Raw genomic sequence first — 20,578 nt, 5'->3', positions numbered from 1 at the left:
GCATATATACAATGAAAGCAGAGGTGCAAAGAAGCTTATGGTAAAGTTCTGCTTTAAATATGAGTCATGTGAAAACCTCCAGGACAGACAGTAAATGCTGTGTGGAACTAGGTTTGCTGTCCCTAAAACAGGAGTGCTGAATGCCTCTTAACCATTCTGGGGCAGGCAGGGCACAAGAGGCATTATAGAACATGTGCTTGGGTTATACAACGTGTATTAGGCCGTTTTCACACTGCTATTAATATAAAGAACTGCCCAAGACTGGATAATTTATAAAGGAAAGGGGTTTAAGTGACTCACAGTTCAGCATGACTGGGGAGGCCTCAGGAAACTTACAATCATGGCAAAGATGAAGGGGAAGCAAAGTATGTTCTTCACAAGGAGCCAGGAAGGAGAAGTGTGGAGCAAATGGGGAAGAGCTCCTTATAAAACCATCAGATCTCGCGAGAATTCACTATCAGGAGAACAGCATGGGGGAAACCATCCCCATGATTCAGTTACCTCCACCTAGTCTCTCCCTTGACATATGGGGATCATGGGGATTACAGTTCAAGGTGAGATTTGGGTGGGGACACAAAGCCTAACCATATCACAAGCCAAATACCATTGTAATGGGGGGCATAAAGTTAACGAGGGATTTCTTTCCCCCTCATATATTTGGACTGGACTGTTATTTACTTATCTGTATTAATTAAATCTCCCAATTTAAATTAGCTGTGTAGAAAATAAAAGGACTGGATCATATTGGAAGTCGAGAAGATGTGCAGTTACTAGTCCTATTGCTTCATTTAATGGTGTTCTCTTTTTTAAGCTTTTCCCCATTTGTGACAGAAAAACAAGGCACCTGCTTTCCTTAGAGCACCACTGATAATCTTTGGTATGATCATGAAACGATTGTGCTTGAGAAGAAAAATGGGCATAAATAAAGCTAAAAAGCAAAGATGCCTTATCCATAGCAATAGTTTATTTGCTTTTCAGAATCTAACCTTTTCCTTCATTTTTCATATTTTTGGATTGGGTTCGATGATGCATATCTCCTATCTCCTCAAATGTATTCCAGTATGAGGAACATGGGAGAAATGTCTTATTTTTATTCGGAGGCAACCACGGATGTGGCCATCAACTGGTGGGTCCATGTGACTTCTTCACTAGATCTGATATGCTCTGGTTTTGAATATTAGACTGGTCAGAGAGCAATGTCAATCCCCCTCCTACTCCATGGCCAGTACCAAAGACAAGCAGTCCAAATGACAACAGCCCTGCAGTGAAAGGTAATAACAGCATTTTGTCTCTCTGAAATGACAGCTGCCTTCCTTTCCAGTGGCCTAACCTGTTTTCTGTACTACTTTGCTAATTTCCATTTGAACATCTAGGGCTCAAGACAGGGCTATGAGATGGAGAATTTCGCATAATCCCAGAAATTACATTCTGACTTCTTTTTCTGGCTTAATGTCCTCATTCATAATTCCCTTTATCAAATTGTACCTAATGTGGATGAGTCAAATATCTACATGTGGTTGGGTGGTCCCCAAGTTTGGTTGGAAATACCAAGGTATGAAAGGCCTCTGAGGTTTGCTATTTTTAGCCAGAAATACCATTGCCACCACCAAATAGGGCATTTAATTTGTGCACCTCAGAAAGGGCCAGGTTTCATAGTTGTCAAAAGAGGTCATTTCAAGTTCATGAGATCTGTTCTCTTTTGGGACAGGTCCCCCAAGGGAGCCTCTGCTCGACTGAAGATATCATCTGTGTTTGCAGCTCTAGCTCTGTTTCTTTGGTATCACTGACTTTCTCTTGTTGGCCACAGGAAGTTGAAGGAAGTGTGTACTCCATTATCATCAAAAAATGTTCCCATGATGCTCTTTTAAGTGTTATGCAAATAAGTTGCACCTGCTTTGTCTCCAACAGTGGCTGCCTGGGGAATGTGAGGATTGTCCCAAAGCACAATCACTGGCTCCTCACGGCAAGGCCATGAGAACGCTCAGAAGACCTCCTAAGACCCTTGAGGAGGTTAGAAGGAAGGGGAAACAAGCATGTAGCATCTTTTCACTAGAGTCGTCTTTAAGATATTTTGATATCCTCTAGCAAGAATAGAGATAGGCTAATCCAGCGAAATCAGTATTGCCTTTTTTTAGGCAATACCCTGCCCACTCCCCCTCCAACTAAGCTACAGTGAGCTCTCTTGTCTCTGATACTCATATCAAGATAAACCAGATGATTCCAGGGCTAATTGCACATGGAATTCAATGTTACATAGTAATAACTTGCATATTACCCACTAGTCTTGATATAGTTTTCTCACCATCATAGATACACTGATTTTTACATGTAGATACATTAATATCTACAAAAGACTTTTTTTACAAAAAGAGGGAGGGGAATCCGAAGTATAAAGTGATCGGTACACTATCTTAGCATTTCAGTGCCATTTTGATGAAAGGATCAAAGGCCCTGTTTATACTGATATAATCCCATTGCCTCTATCCCCTCACTAACCACTTTTAGCAACTTGTCCTACCAACACTTCCTGAGACTCTTTTCAGCCAGATGGCAAGCACATTCCTAGCTGCTCTCAGCTAGAAGGATCACCCATCAGAGACGTTTTCTTCATGTTTCTGACACTCCCACCTGTTGGAGAAGAAAAAAACACAGGTCATCCAAGCCAATGAACTTAGATTCTCATGTGGAATGATTTATGTATTTTAAACAAAGCCTTCATCTTATTTAGAAATCACTTGCATGAGGCACTCTTTTGAAAATGTTCTCCTCATCTGGAAAATAATTTGGCTGTATAATCGTGGTATTCAGGAAGTTAGGGCAGGTGTTTAGGTGGAAGAGCAGAAGGGAGTATTCCAATGAGGCTGAAGAGTGAGGGGAATTGACCCCCTGGGAGAAGGGAAGGCATGTCAGGGCCCTCCTTTTAACAGGAAAGGATTGAAGAAGGCAGTGACCCTGAGAGAAGAGGAGAAGCCAGGCCTGGGCGCCAAACACTTTTGGGCCTGTTGCTTTGAAGGGTAGAAAGAGTGGCCATAATATTTCTCCTGACCCAGCAGATTTGAAAAGATTCCTCCAGCAGACAGTGGAAAGCCCCTTGCTTCCTCAGCCATTCAGTCTGATTTCTGAAATAACTATGCTATTTCCTGGTTGTGGTGAAGTGGCAGGGCCCGAGGGTTTGATCAGCTTTTCATGGGCTATGGCCATTAGTGGGGTTGGGGTGCAGGTGGGAGTTTGTTAACACAAGAGCTTGTTATTCTCGGAGCTTCAGGCCCTGGTTTGGAAATGTTAACTGGCCAACCAGCCACGGGAGTTGGAATTCCCTAACTATTGTCAGAGAGAGTGCAAAGGGATTTGTCTGATTGAACAATCTGCATTTGAAGATGACCTGGACCTGCCTGCATCCCGCATGGCAGAGGTGGACATTTGGAAGGTGCGTTTGCTCATGTTTCCTCTTCTCTCCCCAGAACCTGCTAAGGCTGCCTCAGACCTGACTGCCTGGTTCAGCCTCTTCGCTGACCTCGACCCACTCTCAAATCCTGATGCTGTTGGGAAAACCGATAAAGAACACGAATTGCTCAATGCATGAATCTGTACCCTTCGGGAGGGCACTCACATGCCGCCCCCAGCAGCTCCCCTGGGGGCTAGCAGAAGTATAAAGTGATCAGTATGCTGTTTTAATAATTATGTGCCATTTTAATAAAATGAAAGGGTCAACGGCCCTGTTTATATTGGTATAATTATTTACTCTTATTTGGTATAAAGGGTTTTCGTGTATCTCTATGTGGATCTAAATAATACAGGATTGTCTAGAAGCGGTTTCCAGGCCACCGCTCTCCTGCCTACATCCCATCATGGCTGCTGCGGTGTCACTGGGCTACCGTGAGATCCAAGTTGAAATCAGAAGCCTACTTTGATGGTAGGTTTGAATGACGTGTCCTACAGCCTCAGAGGCAGCAGGAGGCTAGCAAAGCTTAAATGCCTCCTTCTCTGCCCCCAGCCTCTGTCCCCCTTGGAGGAGGGCTGTAGGAAGATTCCCTCTTCCTGCCAAGCCACCTTCCAGTGAGCTCTGGATGAAGCTCTGGCCAACCAAAGACACTGTCCCCACAGCAGGTGCCTGGTGGGCCACGTGTTCTCACACTGGTGGAGGAGCTGGGCTTCTGTCCAAGGCACAAACCTTACTATGGAAAGCAGCCATATTTGCAGATACCACTGTCTCCTTTTGTCCTCTTCGTGGCTGGAATTCAAAAGCATGTATTTCTGAAGCCTCTTGTGACATTGTTTTTTTTTTTTTTTTAATTAAACAGAAAAGATATTTGACATGCAAAGTCAAGTTTATGGAGTCTGTTGTGGGGACTCAGTGATGTGCTGAGGAAAGTGCTCTGGGTGTGGGTGTGGGAGTGGGACAGAGGAGAAGGATGGGTCCCAACTGCAGCCTTGAAGCTGTTGATTTGACCCCATGTACCACCCAGATAAGGCAGCAGCAGGAAGGACAACATGGGGCTTGAAGGATCAGGCAGGGGTGGGAGCCACAGTTTTACATTTGGGCAGCTCGGATACTCTGCCACTATTAGAGACCCCAGAGCTGGCACCTCTCCCTGCCACACATGTCACAGGTGACCTGCCGAGGGCCCACACAGATCTGTGGAAGCCCATGTATACCCCTTTCAATGAGCTAGAGGCCCAGAGTAGGGGTGGAATCTAATACTGCCCCAGGAGATGGTTCCACATGCTTGGTTGGGCCAGGAGGTCTCTCCTGGACTCCTGCAGCTTCAGTGCCCAGCTCTGAAAGGGCTTCCTGAGGCCACTTCCTGTAACACACACACACACACACATACAGGAACGGCTCATGGAAGGACCTGGCCACAGCAATCACCTCCATCCCTACAAGACACCTTGGAGGACTGGAGATGGGGGACTGTTGAGGTGTTCTTTCTCTGCACAGGAAAGTGCACTGCAGGTGAAATGGGGCATGTTAGGGAGCTCACGGAACCCCACTAACATCCGGGCCTACCATCAGCTATCCAGGGGGTCTCCTTTGTTAGAATCTCATTTAGCAGATTCCTCAACCCGGCATTGGTGGGCTTTGAGGATATGAAGAGTTCAGTACCAGAGCCTCACCTTGTGAGCCTTCCCGCACTCACACAGGAGGCCTTGCTGTACCCTCAGCCTCTGCTCCCCACCCTGGGCCTGTGTGTTTGCTGTGCACGTCTGCTGGGATGCCATCACAACCCCACCTACCCTTCCAGAGCCTCTGTAGAGCCGACGTGCTCCACAAGGACCTCTCCAAGTGCATCCCCCAGGTCTCCTGTGAGGAACCAGCCCTCACCTCTCCGTGACACTTCATCAGCTCCTGCCCTCCCTTCCTGCCTCTCTCCCATCTCATACAGCGACACTAGGATGGTGCTTGCCCTGGCCTCACAAGGACTGTGCTTTATGTATCTGCCTCTACCACTAGGTGCTATGACCCCAAAGAACAGTCTCCCTGTTTCTCCAAATCTCTGTCTCTCCGGCAGTCAGCACCCTGCAGTCACCTCGTCAGCAATGGATTAATGATTGGGGGAGTCAAGCTGCCCTTCATGGAATGTGGACTCAGTCCTGGTTTCATCCTGGGTCACATTTGCAGCTGTGAAAACCCTGCAACCACAGTAAGAAGATGAGGGACGAGGCACTGACTCGCTCCGTCCAGGCTAGAGGCCCAGAGAGCTTGGTGGGGGAAAGGGTGGGACAGCAAAGGGGGTGGGGTTCATCTATTTTGAATGGATTACTTTAAATACTAACAGGTGGCATTTAAAAGTTGCTCTTTGGGTGGAGGGGAGAGGATTGTGGTAGCTGGACAAGCTTCACTACAAGGACAAGGAAAGAATTGCACATGGAGGCATTTTCTCTCCATATTTTCTTGACCTTAAAAAAAACAAAAGATTCAATTCCCTTTTCTAACTGCAATCCACTTGGCCAGCATCTTGATCCCTTTTGATATGCGTGTTTTGATCCGGGCTCATGCAAAGCCGGTGGACCACCTTTTCAGTTTAAACAGCAGCAGCTGCTGCCTGATTCTCTTTTTAAGTGGCCTGCGTGCCTGCGGGGCCAAAGGGCTTCTTCCAGGACGCACCTCCCGGACCCTCCTCAGCCACCCAAGGACTGGCCCTGGTATGAAGAAGACAAAGGTACGCTACCCTCTTCCTGTACACTTCCTGTACCCTCTTCCTGTACACTCCCACATGTCCCTCATTTTCATTTCATGATGAGAGCCTGGTCTGAATCACAGTTGCACTGAACCCTTTGGGGCGATTTAGAGAGCACCTATTCCTGGAAAGCTTTCCTGCCAATCCAGGTGGGGTGGTCTGCCAGGCTCCCTTCCCTGTCCCCCAGCCAAGATTTAAAGAATATACAAATTTAAGGGAGGGAGCCAGAGAAAATTCTTTTTCCTTCTTTCTTCTTTCCCCAGCTGGCTTGGGCTTTTGGTGTACCTTATAGATTCATTTCCTTCAAAATGTAATTTTAGAAATATCAAGTTGATTTTTGAGCTCTGGGAAAGTGAGAAAAGCACCCGTCAGCTTCAGAATTAGAAATGCACCAACTTAGGACGAACCAGCACTTTTTGTCAGTGGTTTTTCCCAAAAAGACGTGATCTACTCAGAGGCGGCCCGAGGCGTCGGTGGGCCTGTAGGCAGGACTTATGCATGGTGCTATTATTACCAGGCAGGGGTCCTGATCCAGACCCCAAGAGAGGGTTCTTGGACCTCATGCACAAGAAAGAATTTGGGGCGAGTCCATAGAGTAAAGTGAGAACAAGTTTATTAATAAAGTAAAGGAGGCCAGGCGCAGTGGCTCACGCCTGTAATCCCAGCACTTTGGGAGGCTGAGGTGGGCAGATCACCTGAGATCAGGAGTTTGAGACCAGCCTGGCCAACGTGGTGAAATCCCGTCTCTACTAAAAGAAATTAGTTGGGCGTGGTGGCGGGCACCTGTAATCCCAGCTACTTAGGAGGCTAAGGCAGGAAAATTGCTTGAATCTGAGAGGCGCAGGTTGCAGTCAGCCATGATTGCTCCACTGCACTCCAGTCTGGGTGAAAGAGCAAAACTGCATCTCAAAAGAAAAAAAAAAAAAAAGAAAGTAAAGGAATAAGGAATGGCTACTCGAGTCATAGGCAGAGTAGTGGCATGGGCCGCTTGACTGAGTATACTTACAGTTATTTCCTGATTATATGCTAAACAAGGGGTGGATTATTCATGAGTTTTCTGGGAAAGGGGTGGAGATTCTCCTTTTTGGACTAATCACCTCTTTAAAGCCTCACCTCTTAATACTGTTGCAATGGCAATTAAATTTCCAACACATGAACTTTGGGGGATATATTCAAACCATAGTAGTCATGGTGGGAAATGGGCTGTGTGCCCAGCTTTTCAGGCACTGGAGTCTCACCCTCAAGGACCAAGAATAGAGAAAGTTCCTTAAGGCAGAATTGGGATGCTGTTACTAGAGAAAGAAAAAAAAATGGATGTTAGGCAGGAAAATACAAGACAGCCACTCTAGTTTCCAGTGGAGGACTTTCAGGAAATGCTTTTCCAGTCTTTCCAGAGGGCTATGAAACAGGGTTGTTAAAGAACTGCAGTGGTTTCCAAAAACCCCCCTATTAGGCGCCTCCCACCTGTGCCATGAGGCCACTCCCCAGCAGGCACTGGGGCTGGAAGCTTGGAGCTCTTAGTGGCCCATTGAGAATACTGACCTTCCTGCTGACTTCATGGAATCACAAAAGGAGTCCTAGAGCTTTTTGCTTCCAACCTGCTCATATCTATGTGAAGAAACTGAGGAGACCAAAGGGACGTGGAGAACTAGGTTTAAAGTTAAGGAAACCCAAGACGAGTAATCACATTCCTGTGGTTACTAGTCTTGGTTTTCCAGGACTGACTCCCAGGCCAATGCTTCTTAAGTGTTTGCTAGAAATTAAAAGTTGTAGAAAGCAATTCAAATGCAAAAACAGGGAAAACTCCTGTCCTTCATGACTGCTTTTATTTTCATTTTTCAGAAGTTAGTTATTAAGTACATCCTTTGGGGATAGCATCCAGGAGAAGCATTTAGGACAGTTGGTAAGTTTGCTCTGAAGCCAGACAAATCTGTGGCCAACTGGGCTCCGCCTGCTCTAAGTCATATACCCTCTCAAGCTTGTTTTCTCATCCATAAAATAGGAATAGTAACATTTCCTGCCACTTGGAGTCATTACAAGGATTGAGTTGATGTCCCCAAAGACTTTAGCATTGTACTTGCACACAGCAACACTCAAGTGTGGAGAAATGTGCCACCAAAGTTCACTCTCTTGGTAAAATGTTGGAAGGGGGAAGGGAGAGATTAGTTAAAGGGCACAAAATTATAGCTAGATAGAATAAGTTCTGGTATTCTATAGCACTGAAGGCTGACTGTAGTTAACAATAACATATACTTTAAAATAGTTAGAGGGAGGATATTGAATGTTCCCAATACAAAGAAATGATACATGTTTGAGATGATGGATATGCTGATTACCCTGATGTAGTCACTATACATTATACGGATAGAAACATCACTATGTAGCCCATGAATATATACAGCTATTTGTCAATTTTTGAAATTTTAACTAAATTTTAAAAATGTGGCTGGGCATGGTGGCTCACTCCTGTAATCCCAGCACTTTGGGAGGCTGAGGTGAGTGGATCACCTGAGGTCAGGAGTTCAAGACCAGCTGCCCAACATGGTGAAACCCCGTCTCTACTAAAAATACAAAAAAATTATTTAAGTGTGGTGGTGTGTACCTGTAATCCCAGCTACTTGGGAGGCTGAGGCAGGAGAATCGCTCGAGCCCAGGAGGCAGAGGTTGCAGTGAGCTGAGACTGCACCATTGCACTCCAGCCTAGGAAACAAGAGTGAGACTCCATCTAAAAAAAAAAAAAAAAAAAAAATTCCTACCCTCTCCTAATGAATTACCTTGCATAAGACATGCCAGGCTCTCTTTTCTGTTCCCATCATTTATTACCTCATTCATAAATATTATGGGAATGGAGGGAGGAGGACAGGACTAGAAAGTCTATTGAATAAGTTGCCCCTGATTTTTCCATAAAGCTGGACAAAATTCTGTGGTAAGACTAGGAGATATGAAGTGGATTCTTGTGTCCACAGACAAAAGGGACACATTACAAAACTCACCAATCTTAAAGGTATCTTGAGAACAAATCACTAATTGGAACACTGATGAACAGAAATCAGGATGCAGAGCAATTAAAATTCTCATGCATTGTTGATGGGAATGTTAACATGGAAGCCACTTGGGGAAACAGTTTGGCAGTGTCACAGAAAGTGAAACACATGCTTACCATACAACCCAGCAATCCCACACGTAGGAATTCACCCTGAAGGGAAAGAAAGAAAAAGGGATATCCACACAAAAACCTGTATGTGAATGTGTGTATCGGCTTTATTCATAATCTCCCAAACTGAGAGCACGCAAATGTCCTTCAATTGATGTGGTATGTGCATACAATGGAATATTATTTAGTGGCAAATATGAATATTGATACAACACCATGATAATCCACAGCAATATCATGTGCCCCCCTGCCATGATGCAGTGGGACGGGCACTTAGCCTCTGTGCTATTCTCTCCCCAAATTCATAACCCCAAGCTTGGTGTCAGAACATATCAAACAAACCCAAATTGAGAGGCATTCCACAAAATACCTGATACGTATCTTTCAAAAGTGTCCAGGTCATGAAAAACAAGAAAACACTGAGAAACCACAGATGGGAGGAAACTAAAGAGCCACAGCAACTTAATGCTAAGTTGGGGGACCCTGGATTAGATCCCAAAACAGAAAAAGGACGTCATTGGAAAAACTGGTGAATCCAAATAAAGTCTATGCTTTATATAGTATAGTATAGTATAATAGTAGATATAGTATAATAGTATTGTAGAAATGTTAATTTCTTAATTTTGACAAGCTATGTAACGTGAACAATATGGGAAGCAGGGTAAAGGGCATATGGGAACTTTGTGCTATCTTTGCAACTTCTCCGTAAGTCTCAAAGTATTCTAAAATAAAAAGCTGATTAAAAAAAAAATGGCGGCCAGGCGTGGTGGCTCACGCCTGTAATCCCGGCACTTTGGGAGGCCGAGGCAGGTGGATCACGAGGTCAGGAGATGGAGACCATCCTGGCTAACACGGTGAAACCCTGTCTCTACTAAAAATACAAAAAAATGGCCGGGCATGGTGGCCGGTGCCTGTAGTCCCAGCTACTTGGGAGGCTGAGGCAGGAGAATGGCGTGAACCCGGGAGGCGGAGCTTGCAGTGAGCCGAGATCGCGTCACTGCACTCCAGCCTGGGCAACAGAGCGAGACTCCGTCTCAAAAAAAAAAAAAAAAAAAAAAAAAAAAAAAACCTTCATATTGTGTGATTCCATATGTATGACATTTTGGAAAAAACCTTATAAGGACAGATATCAGATCAGTGGTTGCCCAAGTCTGAGGTTAGAGGAAGAGTTCATTCCAAAGGGACACAAGAGAATTTGGCGGGGGGATAATGGAACTCTTTGTAGACTGATTGTGTTGGTGGTTCCATGACTGTATGCATCTGTCAAAACCCATACAGGTGTACACTAAAAAGAGGAAATTGTACTGTGTGTAAATTATGCCTCAATAAGTATGATGCTAAAAAAAAGAAAAAAGAAATTGGATTCTGGGTCCTCCACAGAGGGATGCCAGCAGTACGGGGAAGACAAACCTCTGAGACGTTACCTGAAGCTGAGAGACTCAGCCTGAGTTGTAGATTAGGGAGTCTCATTGGCCTCCAGCTCCAAGGTAGACAGTGCTACTCACACCGGTGTCCTCCTGCGGGGATCTGCCAGCATCCTTCTGTGTAAAGTCAGGACAGGCCAGGTTATGTTTTGCAAAATCACCACAACATCCCTGTGATTTAAAACGAGGAAGTTTGCTTCCTTTCCCTTTTGTGCTCTATTTCCAATGTAGCTCAGTGGGCTTTGCCCCACAAATCCTCAGGTGCTCAAGCTGACAAAGGCATCACTGGCCTACAGCTGATCACATAAAACACAGGAATCTCTCCATCACAGCCACAAGGAAAAGCTGAGCTGAGAGTCACGCATTGGCTGTTTTATCCTTCATCCTAGAAAGGGCACACTTCTCTTCCCTCCAGTACCCAGAACCAGTCACATGGCCCTGCCTAATTGCAAGGGCCTGGGAAGTGGGATCAGATAGATGGACTATTTCTTTAGCACTATCGTCTCTTATAAAGTTTGTTGGTCTTTAAAATGGGTTGCAAACTTTGCAACAATAAAGTCTACTTTGTTCAAAGGACATAAGAAAACATGCTTTACAGTAGGGTTTTCTTTGTGTGCAGTTTTGCTTTTAGTAGACAAGGGTCTTGTAATACTGGCAGTTGTCTTCTTACAGGAGGTTGGAAACATTCCAAGTGAATGTATCAAAAAGACCAAAATTCAAGATGACTGTCATTTCCACGTCCCCCACTTCTAAGCAATCCTGGCTCCCATTTTGCCAGGAGAAACAGTCTTGGGCAAGGAAGTCATGCTGTGAGCCACAGGACCTCCTGCATTCAGCTGACTAGCTCAGGAAGCCAATGTGGTAGGCCTTGCGGAATCACTTTTCACCAAGAGAAGACTCAGAGTTTATCATATTCACTCTCATTTGATTCTTAGCTGGTGATAATATGAAACAGTTTGTCAATTATAAAAGCAAGAGATACCAATACAAGCAAAAGCAATGCACAGTTACTATAGAGCAATAGGAGTCTTGAGTAATAGGAAACTCTGAGCAACCAGGGCAGAGGGGCACAGAAAAGACACGCAGCAGAGGGGTGCACAGCTAGAGTGGGTGGACCATGCAACCAGCCCAGGGTACTGAATCTCTGTAAGGACTGCCCCGTGAGGACTGAGCATGGCTCCACTTCAGCTGTTTTTCTAAGTTTCTTTGATCAGTTGCACCTCTTTGTACTCTCCTCTGAAAATAGAATCTTTGGCCTTAATACAAAATAAACACCTATGTCCTATCCTCAGATAATTGGTAAGAAACTGATCTGAGGGCCCCACTGTTCTCAACATGTCCCAGTGCTTGCTCTAGAGTTCTCAAGCATTTAGCCACAGTCATTGAACCAGCAGGCATTCTCCTTGACAACATGATTAAACTCAGTCAAATTCTGGAGCCCCTCAAGCTCTCTCTATCAATGTCTTCCTCCCCATCCCCCACCCTGCTCCTATTGCCTGTCACTCTTGGAGCATTTCAGTAGAATATCCAGACCACTGGATGTCCCTTCTTCTATTGTTGGGATGCAGCTGCTGACACCATCTCAGTGTTGGGTAAGTACTGGCTTCATTATTAGCGGGGGCAACTTCTTCATGATTTGTCCTAGTAGAGAGCTGATTGGAACTGTTCAGGAAACCTCTAAAACCAGATAGGGTCTGATATGGTTTGGCTGTGTCCCCACCCAAATCTCATCTTGAGTTCTAATCCCCATAATCCCCACATGTGGTGGGAGGGACCTAGTAAGAGCTAATTGAATCATGGGGCAGTTCCCCCCATGCTGTTCTCGTGATAGTGAGTGCTCACAAGATCTGAGGGTTTTATAAGCATCTGGCATTTCCCCTGCTGGCACTCATTCTCTCTCCTGCTGCCTTGTGAGAAGGGGTGCCTTACCCCGTGATTGTAAGTTTCCTGAGGCCTCCCCAGCCATGAGGAACTGTGAGTCAATTAAACCTCATTTCTTTATAAATTACCCAGTCTTGGGTATTTCCTTATAGAAATGTGACAACAGACTAAGACAGGGTCTTACACCCAGGCCCCCCTCTGCCAGCCAGTGAGGAGGCAACTAATTTTAGGAATGCCTCCTCAGCCCAGGCTGGGTTATCTATCAGCCCTCTGGGGCTTCCTTCCCCAGCTACTTCACAGGGAACTGTTTATTCATTTTGGTATGAGGTGTCTTCTTGCTGATATATCTGGCCCTGAACTGTGGCACCCCAAGGATCTGTTCTGCACTGAGAGTTTCCTCCGCTGTCTTCCGTCCATGGCACAAACAGAAGGCATTCCTAGGACATACACAGCACTTGACAGGTCAACACCCTTGCTTCTATTCTCTTCCAGAAATTCACTGCTATTTCTGATGGCTGGGTTATAAACTCTTTCTGATCTGTTCCAATAAAATCTATTCTGGTCCAGAGATTTATGGAGCCCTTGGCCTCAATGGTTCTGTACATCCTCTGAGATATGTAAGTTTTTGTGAAAATGCACCTGTGTGGATATTTAACTTGATGAAATGGTCTAGAGCTTCCATATATTCTCAAAGGGGTGGATGAACAAAACAAGTCAGAAAAGTTGTGCTCATCATAGGATTCGTGCTGATGCAGAGGGCACCAAAGTGCTTGAAACCTCTCGTGAGCGCTAACAGCCCACAGCAAACGTGTAGGCAAGCTGGAGGTTCCTCTGGTCCCTTTTCCCACCACAGGGAAGTAACAGCCATTTTGTTCTTGGTCCTCTCTCTTTGCCCTTAATGGTTGAGTTGGCCATGTGTGGGCCTCAGCAGTCAAACTGAGGTGTATTTTTGTCTTGCCAATAGGAGCTGCCATCCTGGGTAAGCTGTGACTTTGGCTCCAGCTAGAAAGGAAGAAACTAGCAGGGAGAGAACAAATCCTGACAACACACTAGCCTAAGCTCTGGCTACCTGTAGTTTGCCACCCATCTGTTACCTGCCCTCAGAAGCAGCCCTGAAGGGAGCCCTTGCTTCTTGATCTTGGGCTTATACGGTGAACCTGTGGTGAGAAGCCCAGAGCCAAGCAGCCTAGTTGTTCTGCCCTACAAACCAGGTGTGTGGTTAAAGAGAAAGCACCTTGAAAAGACAGGAATGGGCCAAGGCTGAAGCCTGAAGTCCCCTGGTGTCCTGGCCTTGCTTTTCAGGTCTGGGCAGGGTGAGGAGAACTGGGCACACAGGATCACGATGAGCAGGGAAGACGGTGGAGAACGAGTGCGCGTACTCTGGCCTCTTCCACAGGCTATCAGTGTGGTCGGGCGCCTGACTGCTTCACGTACTGAAACCCAGGAAAACAGAAGACAACAGAGGAAGGAAGTAGGCCACCCTCCTGTTGGATGAATGGCCTTGAGCTATGAACCACCTTTGTGTGTTTATTCTCTTCACTCTGACCCTACATGGACTATGAAAAATAAAAATAGCTATCGTCCATGGAGTAGTCACTCTATGCCAGGCACTGTGCTATGTGCACATAAGCCCATTTCATCCTCTTAACTATACTATGGCATAGGTTCTTTGCATACGTGAATTTTTAAATTAAAATACATGTCACATACCATACAATTTACCATTTTAAATATATGATTCAGTAGCTTTTAGTACATTTACAAGGTCACGCAACGATTACCATTATCTAATTCCAGAACATTTTTTATTACTCCCAAAAGAAAGCCTGTACTTAGTAGTAGTGACTCCCTATTTCGGCCTACCCCAGACCCTGGCAACCACTACTACTTTCTGTCTCTGCAAATTTTCCTATAATGGACATTTCATATCAATGGGATTATAGAGTATGCAGTCTTTTGTGACTGGCCTCTTTCACTTAGCATAATGTTTTAAAGGCTTGTTCATGTGGAGCAGGTATCAGTACTTCATTCCTTTTTATTCCTGAATAACAATTGTATGGATAGGACACGTTTGATTTATGCAGTCATCAACTGATGAACATTTGGATTGTTTCCAGTTTTGGACTCTTATGAACAATGCTGCTATGAACGTTTGTGTACTTGGTTTTCATGTAGACATGTTTTTCTTTTCTTTTCTTTTTCTTTTTTTTTTTTTTTTTTTTTTTGAGGGCTCCCACTATTCTCAGAACTGATAAGAATGATGTTTAAATTTTTTGTAAAAAAACAATGTAGATGGGCCAGGCGTGGTGGCTCACGCCTGTAATCCCAGCACTTTGGAAGGCTGAGGCGGGCAGATCACGAGGTCAGGAGATCCAGACCATCCTGGCTAACATGGTGAAACCCCATCTCTAATAAAAATACAAAAAAAAATAGCCGGGCATGGTGGCGGGTGCCTGTAGTCCCAGCTACTCGGGAGGCTGAGGCAGGAGAATGGCGTGAAACCAGGAGGCGGAGATTGCAGTGAGCCGAGATTGTACCACTGCACTCCAGCCGTCTCAAAAAAAAAAAAAAAAAGTGGATTTTTTTTTCTTCCTTAAAATTTTTTTTATTATACTTTAAGTTCTGGGTTACATGTACAGAATGGGCAGCTTTGTTACACAGTTACACACGTGCCATGTTGGTTAGCTGCACCCATCAACCCGTCACCTACATTAGGTATTTCTCCTAATGCTATCCCTCTCCTAGCCCCCCACCCGCCGACAGGCCTTGGTGTGTGATGCTCCCCTCCCTGTGTACATGTGTTCTCATTGTTCAGCTCCTACTTATGAGTGATAACGTGCGGTATTTGGTTTTCTGATCCTGTGATAGTTCGATAGTTTCCAGCTTCATCCATGTCCCTTCAAAGGACATGAACTCATCCTTTTTTATGACTGCATAGTATTGCATGGTGTATATGTGCCACATTTTCTTTATCCAGTCTATCATTGATGGACATTTAGGTTGGTTCCAAGTCTTTGCTATTGTGAATAGTGATGCAATAAACATACGTGTGCATGTGTCTTTATCGTAGAATGATTTATAATCCTTGGGTATATGCCCAGTAATGGGAGTGCTGAGTCAAACGGTATTTCTAGTTCCAGATCCTTGAGGAACCACCACACTGTCTTCTGAAGTGGTTGAACTCATTGACACTCCCACCAGCAGTGTAAAAGCGTTCGTATTTTTCTACAACCTCTCCAGCATCTGTTGTTTCCTGACTTTTTAATGATCGCCATTCTAACTGGCAGGAGATAGTATCTCATTGTGGTTTTGATATGCATTTCTCTAATGACCCGTGTTGATGAGCATTTTTTCATATGTCTGTTGGTTGCATAAATGTCTTGTTTTGAGAAGTGTCTGTTCATATCCTTTGCCCATTTTTTGATGGGGTGGGTTGTTTTTTTCTTGTAAATTTGTTTAAGTTATTTGTAGATTCTAGATATTAGCCCTTTGTCAGATGGATAGATTGCAAAAATTTTCTCCCATTCTGTAGGTTACCTGTTCACTCTGATGATAGTTTCTTTTGCTGTGCAGAAGCTCTTTAGTTTAATTAGATCCCATTTGTCAATTTTGGCTTTTGTTGCCATTGCTTTTGGTGTTTTTGACATGAAGTCCTTGCCCATGCCTATGTCCTGAATGGTATTGCCCAGGTTTTCTTCTAGGATTTTTATGGCCCTAGGTCTTATGTTTAAGTCTTTGATCCATCTTGAGTTGATTTTTGTATAAGGTGTAAGGAAGTTTCAGTTTTCTGCATATGGCTATCCAGTTTTTTCCAACACCTTTTATTAAATAGGGAATCTTTTCCCCGTTGCTTGTGTGTGTCAGGTTTGTCAAAGATCAGATGGTTGTAGATGTGTGGTGTTATTTCTGAGGCCTCTGTTCTGTTCCATTGGTCTATATATCCGTTTTGGTAGTAGTACCATGCTGTTTTGGTTGCTCTAGCCTTGTAGTATAGTTTGAAGTCAGGTAGTGTGATGCCTCCAGCTTTGTTCTTCTTGCCCAGGATTGTCTTGGTTATGCGGGCTCTTTTTTGGTTCCATATGAAGTTTAAAGTAGTTTTTTTCCAGTTCTGTGAAGAAAGTCAGTGGTTGGTTGATGGGGATAGCATTGAATCTATAAATTACTTTGGGCAGTATGGCCATTTTCATGATATTGATTCTGCTGATCCATGAGCATGGAATGATTTTCCATTTGTTTGTGTCCTCTCTTATTTCCTTGAGCAGTGGTTTGTAGTTCTCCTTGAAGAGGTCCTTCACTTCTCTTGTAAGTTGGATTCCTAGGTATTTTATTCTCTTAGTAGCAATCGTGAATGGGAGTTCACTCATGATTTGGCTCTCTGTCTGTAATTAGTGCATAGGAATGCTTGTAATTTTGCACATTGATTTTGTATCCTGAGACTTTGCTGAACTTGCTTATCAGCTTAAGGAGATTTTGGGTTGAAACGATGGGGTTTTCTAAACATACAATCATGTCATCTGCAAACAGAGACAATTTGACATCCTCTCTTCCTATTTGAATACCCTTTATTGCTTTATATATATCTTGCCTGATTGCCCTGGCCAGAACTTCCAATGCTATGTTGAGTAGGTGTGGTGAGAGGGCATCCCTGTCTTGTGCCAGTTTTCAAAGGGAATGCTTCCAGTTTTTGCCCATTCAGTATAATGGCTGTGGGTCTGTCATAAATAGCTCTTATTATTTTGAGATACATCCCATCAATACCTAGTTTATTGAGAGTTTTTAGCATGAAGGGCTGTTACATTTTATCAAATACCTTTTCTGTATCTATTGAGATAATCATGTGGTTTTTGTCATTGGTTCTGTTTATGTGATGAATTACATTAATTGATTTGCATATGTTGAACCAGACTTGCATCCCAGGGATGAAGCCAACTTGATAGTGATGGATAGATAAACTTTTTGATGTGCTGCTGGATTTAGTTTGCCAGTCTTTTATTGAGGATTTTCACATCGATGTTCAACAGGGATATTGGCCTGAAATTTTCTTTTTTTGTTGTATCTCTGCCAGGTTTTGGTATCAGGATGATGCTGGCTTCATAAAATGAGTTAGGGAGGAGTCCCTCTTTTTCTATTGATTGGAATCCTTTCAGAAGGAATGGTACCAGCTCTTCTTTGTACCTCTGGTAGAATTTGGCTGTGAATCCATCTGGCCCTGGACTTTTTTTGGTTGTTAGGCTATTAATAACTGCCTCAATTTCAGAACTTGTTTTTGGTTTATTCAGGGATTCGACTTCTTCCTGGCTTAGACGTGGGGGGTGTATGTGTCCAGAAATTTATCTATTTCTTCTAGATTTTCTAGTTTATTTGCATAGAGGTGCTTATAGATGGTAGTTTGTATTTCTGTGGGATCAGGGATGATATTCCCTATATCACTTTTTATTGTGTGTATTTCATTCTATTCTATTTGGGTCTTAGATCTTTTCTTCTTTATTGGTCTGGCTAGCAGACTGTCTATTTTGTTGACTTTTTTCAAAAAGCAGGTCCTGGATTTATTGATTTTTTTTTTTTGAAGGGTTTTTCATGTCTCTATCTCCTTCAGTTCTGCTCTGATCTAAGTTATTTCATGTCTTCTGCTAGCTTTTGAATTTGTTTGCTGTTGCTTCTCTAGTTGTTTTCATTTTGATGTTAGGGTGTCAATTTTAGATCTTTCCTCCTTTCTCTTGTGGGCATTTAGTGCTATAAATGTCCCTCTAAACACTGCTTTAAATGCATCCCACAGATTCTGGTACATTGTGTCTTCAATTTTATTGGTTTCAAAGAACATCTTTATTTCTGCCTTCATTTCATTATTTACCCAGTAGTCATTCAGGAGCAGGTTGTTCAGTTTCCATGTAGCTGTGCGATTTTGAATGAGTTTCTTAATCCTGAGTTCTAATTTGATTACTCTTGTGGTCTGAGAGAGTGTTTGTTATGATTTCCATTCTTCTGCATTTGCTGATGAGTGTTTTACTTCCAATTATGTGGCCAATTTTAGAATAAGTGTGATGAGGTGCTGAGAAGAATGTATTATTCTGTTTGTTTGGGGTGGAGAGTTCTGTAGATGTCTGTTAGGTCTGCTTGGGCCAGAGCTGAGTTCAAGTCCTGAATATCCTTGCTAATTTTCTGGCTTGTTGATCTGTCTAATATTGACAGTTGGGTGTCAAAGTCTCCCACTATTATTGTGTGGGAGTCCAACTCTCTTTGTAGGTCTCTAAGAACTTTATGAATCTGGGTGCTCCTGTATAGGGTGCATATATATTTAAAATAGTTAACTTTTCTCATTGTATTGATCCCTTTACTATTACGTAATGCCCTTCTTTGTCTCTTTTGATCTTTGTTGGTTTAAAGTCTGTTTCTTATTGCAACTCCTGTTTTTTTTTTTTCTTTCCATTTGCTTGGTAAATATTCCTCCATCCCTTTATTTTGAGCCTATGTGTGTCTTTGCATGTGAGATGGGTCTCCTGAATACAGCACACTGATGGGTCTTGACTCTATCCAATTTGCCAGTCTGTGTCTTTTAATTGGGGCATTTAGCCTGTTTACATTTAAGGTTAATATTGTTATGTGTGAATTTGATTCTGTCATTTTGATGCTAGCTGGTTGTTTTGCCCATTAGTTAATGCAGTTTCTTCATAATGTTGATGTTCTTTACAATTTGGTATGTTTTTGCAGTGGCTGGTACTGATTGTTCCTTTCCATGTTTAGTGCTTCCTTCAGGAGCTCTTGTAAGGCATGTCTGGTGGTGACAAAATCTCTCAGCATTTGTTTGTCTGTAAAGGACTTTATTTCTCCTTCACTTATGAAGCTTAGTTTGGCTGGATATGAAATTCTGGGTTGAAAATTCTTTTCTTTGAGAACATTGAATATTGGCCCTCACTCTTCTGGCTTGTAGGATTTCTGCAGAGAGATCTGCTGTTAGTCTGATGGGCTTCCCTTTGTGGGTAACCTGACCTTTCTCTCTGGCTGCCCTTAACATTTTTTCCTTCATTTCAACCTTGGTGAATCTGACAATTATGTGTCTTGGGGTCGCTCTTCTCAAGGAGTATCTTTGTGGTGTTCTCTGTATTTCCTGAATTTGAATGTTGGCCTGTCTTGCTAGCTTGGGGAAGTTCTCCTGGATAATATCCTGAAGAATGTTTTCCAACTTGGTTCCATTCTCCCTGTCACTTTCAGATACACCAGTCAAATGTACATTTGGTCTTTTCACATAGTCTCATATTTCTTGGAGGCTTTGTTCGTTCCTTTTTATTCTTTTTTCTCTAATCTTTTCTTCGCTCTTTATTTCATTAAGTTGATCTTCACTCACTTTTATCCTTTCTTCTGCTTGATCGATTTGGCTGTTGATACTTGTGTATTCTTCACGAAGTTATTGTGCTGTGTTTTTCAGCTCCATCAGGTCATTTATGTTCTTCTCTACATTGGTTATTCTAGTTAGCAATTCAACTAACCTTTCTTCAAGGTTCTTAGCTTCCTTGCATTGGGTTAGAACATGCTCCTTTAGCTTGGAGGAGTTTGTTATTACCCACCTTCTGAAGCCTACTTCTGTCAGTTCATCACACTCATTCTCCATCCAGTTTTGTTCCCTTGCTGGCAGGGAGTTGTGAGCCTTTGGAGGAGGAGAGGCATTCTGGTTTTTGGAATTTTTAGGCTTTTTGCACTGATTTTTCCCCATCTTTGTGGATTTATCTACCTTTGGTCTTTGATGTTGGTGACCTTTGGATGGGGTCTTTCAGTGGATGTGCTAGTCCTTTCTGTTTGTTTCTTTTCCTTCTAACAGTCAGGCCCCTCTGCTGCCAGTCTGCTGGAGTTTGCTGGAGGTCCACTCCCCATCCTGCTTGCCTGGGTATCATCAGCGGAGGCTGCAAAGCAGCAAAGATTGCTGACTGTTCTTTCCTCTGGAAGCT

At 43.6% G+C, this 20,578-nt stretch overlaps 1 protein-coding gene across 39 annotated transcripts in view, besides 3 other annotated features; it reads left to right on the top strand.

Annotated features, from left to right (window-relative positions):
• Positions 1 to 4,322, top strand: part of ICA1 (islet cell autoantigen 1) — a 149,372-nt gene extending 145,050 nt beyond the window's left edge. For 37 of the 39 annotated variants that reach the window (NR_146926.2, NR_146927.2, NR_146929.2 and 34 more), the window contains one exon: positions 3,462 to 4,322. Coding sequence is in view for 34 of the 39 variants with exons in the window: in XM_024446741.2 (XP_024302509.1) it covers positions 3,462 to 3,583 (122 nt within the window). In the remaining 5 variants the exon portion in view is untranslated. Of the gene's footprint in view, positions 1 to 1,908; positions 2,011 to 3,461 lie in introns of all 39 variants that reach the window. The other 2 variants (NR_146928.2, XR_002956426.2) reach the window with 1 other exon arrangement.
• Positions 2,954 to 3,143: an enhancer, noted in NCBI's record as "active region_25655". NCBI's record gives its function as "activates an Ori minimal core promoter by ATAC-STARR-seq in GM12878 lymphoblastoid cells {active_cell/tissue: GM12878}" and the evidence as "EXISTENCE:reporter gene assay evidence [ECO:0000049][PMID:35858748]".
• Positions 3,164 to 3,263: an enhancer, noted in NCBI's record as "active region_25654". NCBI's record gives its function as "activates an Ori minimal core promoter by ATAC-STARR-seq in GM12878 lymphoblastoid cells {active_cell/tissue: GM12878}" and the evidence as "EXISTENCE:reporter gene assay evidence [ECO:0000049][PMID:35858748]".
• Positions 12,303 to 12,849: an enhancer, noted in NCBI's record as "NANOG hESC enhancer chr7:8144287-8144833 (GRCh37/hg19 assembly coordinates)". NCBI's record gives its function as "activates a minimal SCP1, AML or CMV promoter by ChIP-STARR-seq in naive H9 embryonic stem cells {active_cell/tissue: H9 hESC(naive)}" and the evidence as "EXISTENCE:reporter gene assay evidence [ECO:0000049][PMID:30033119]".

This window comes from Homo sapiens, chromosome 7 (assembly GCF_000001405.40).
Source record: "Homo sapiens chromosome 7, GRCh38.p14 Primary Assembly".
NCBI lineage: Eukaryota > Metazoa > Chordata > Mammalia > Primates > Hominidae > Homo > Homo sapiens.
This window is presented reverse-complemented; position numbering and strand designations above follow the sequence as displayed.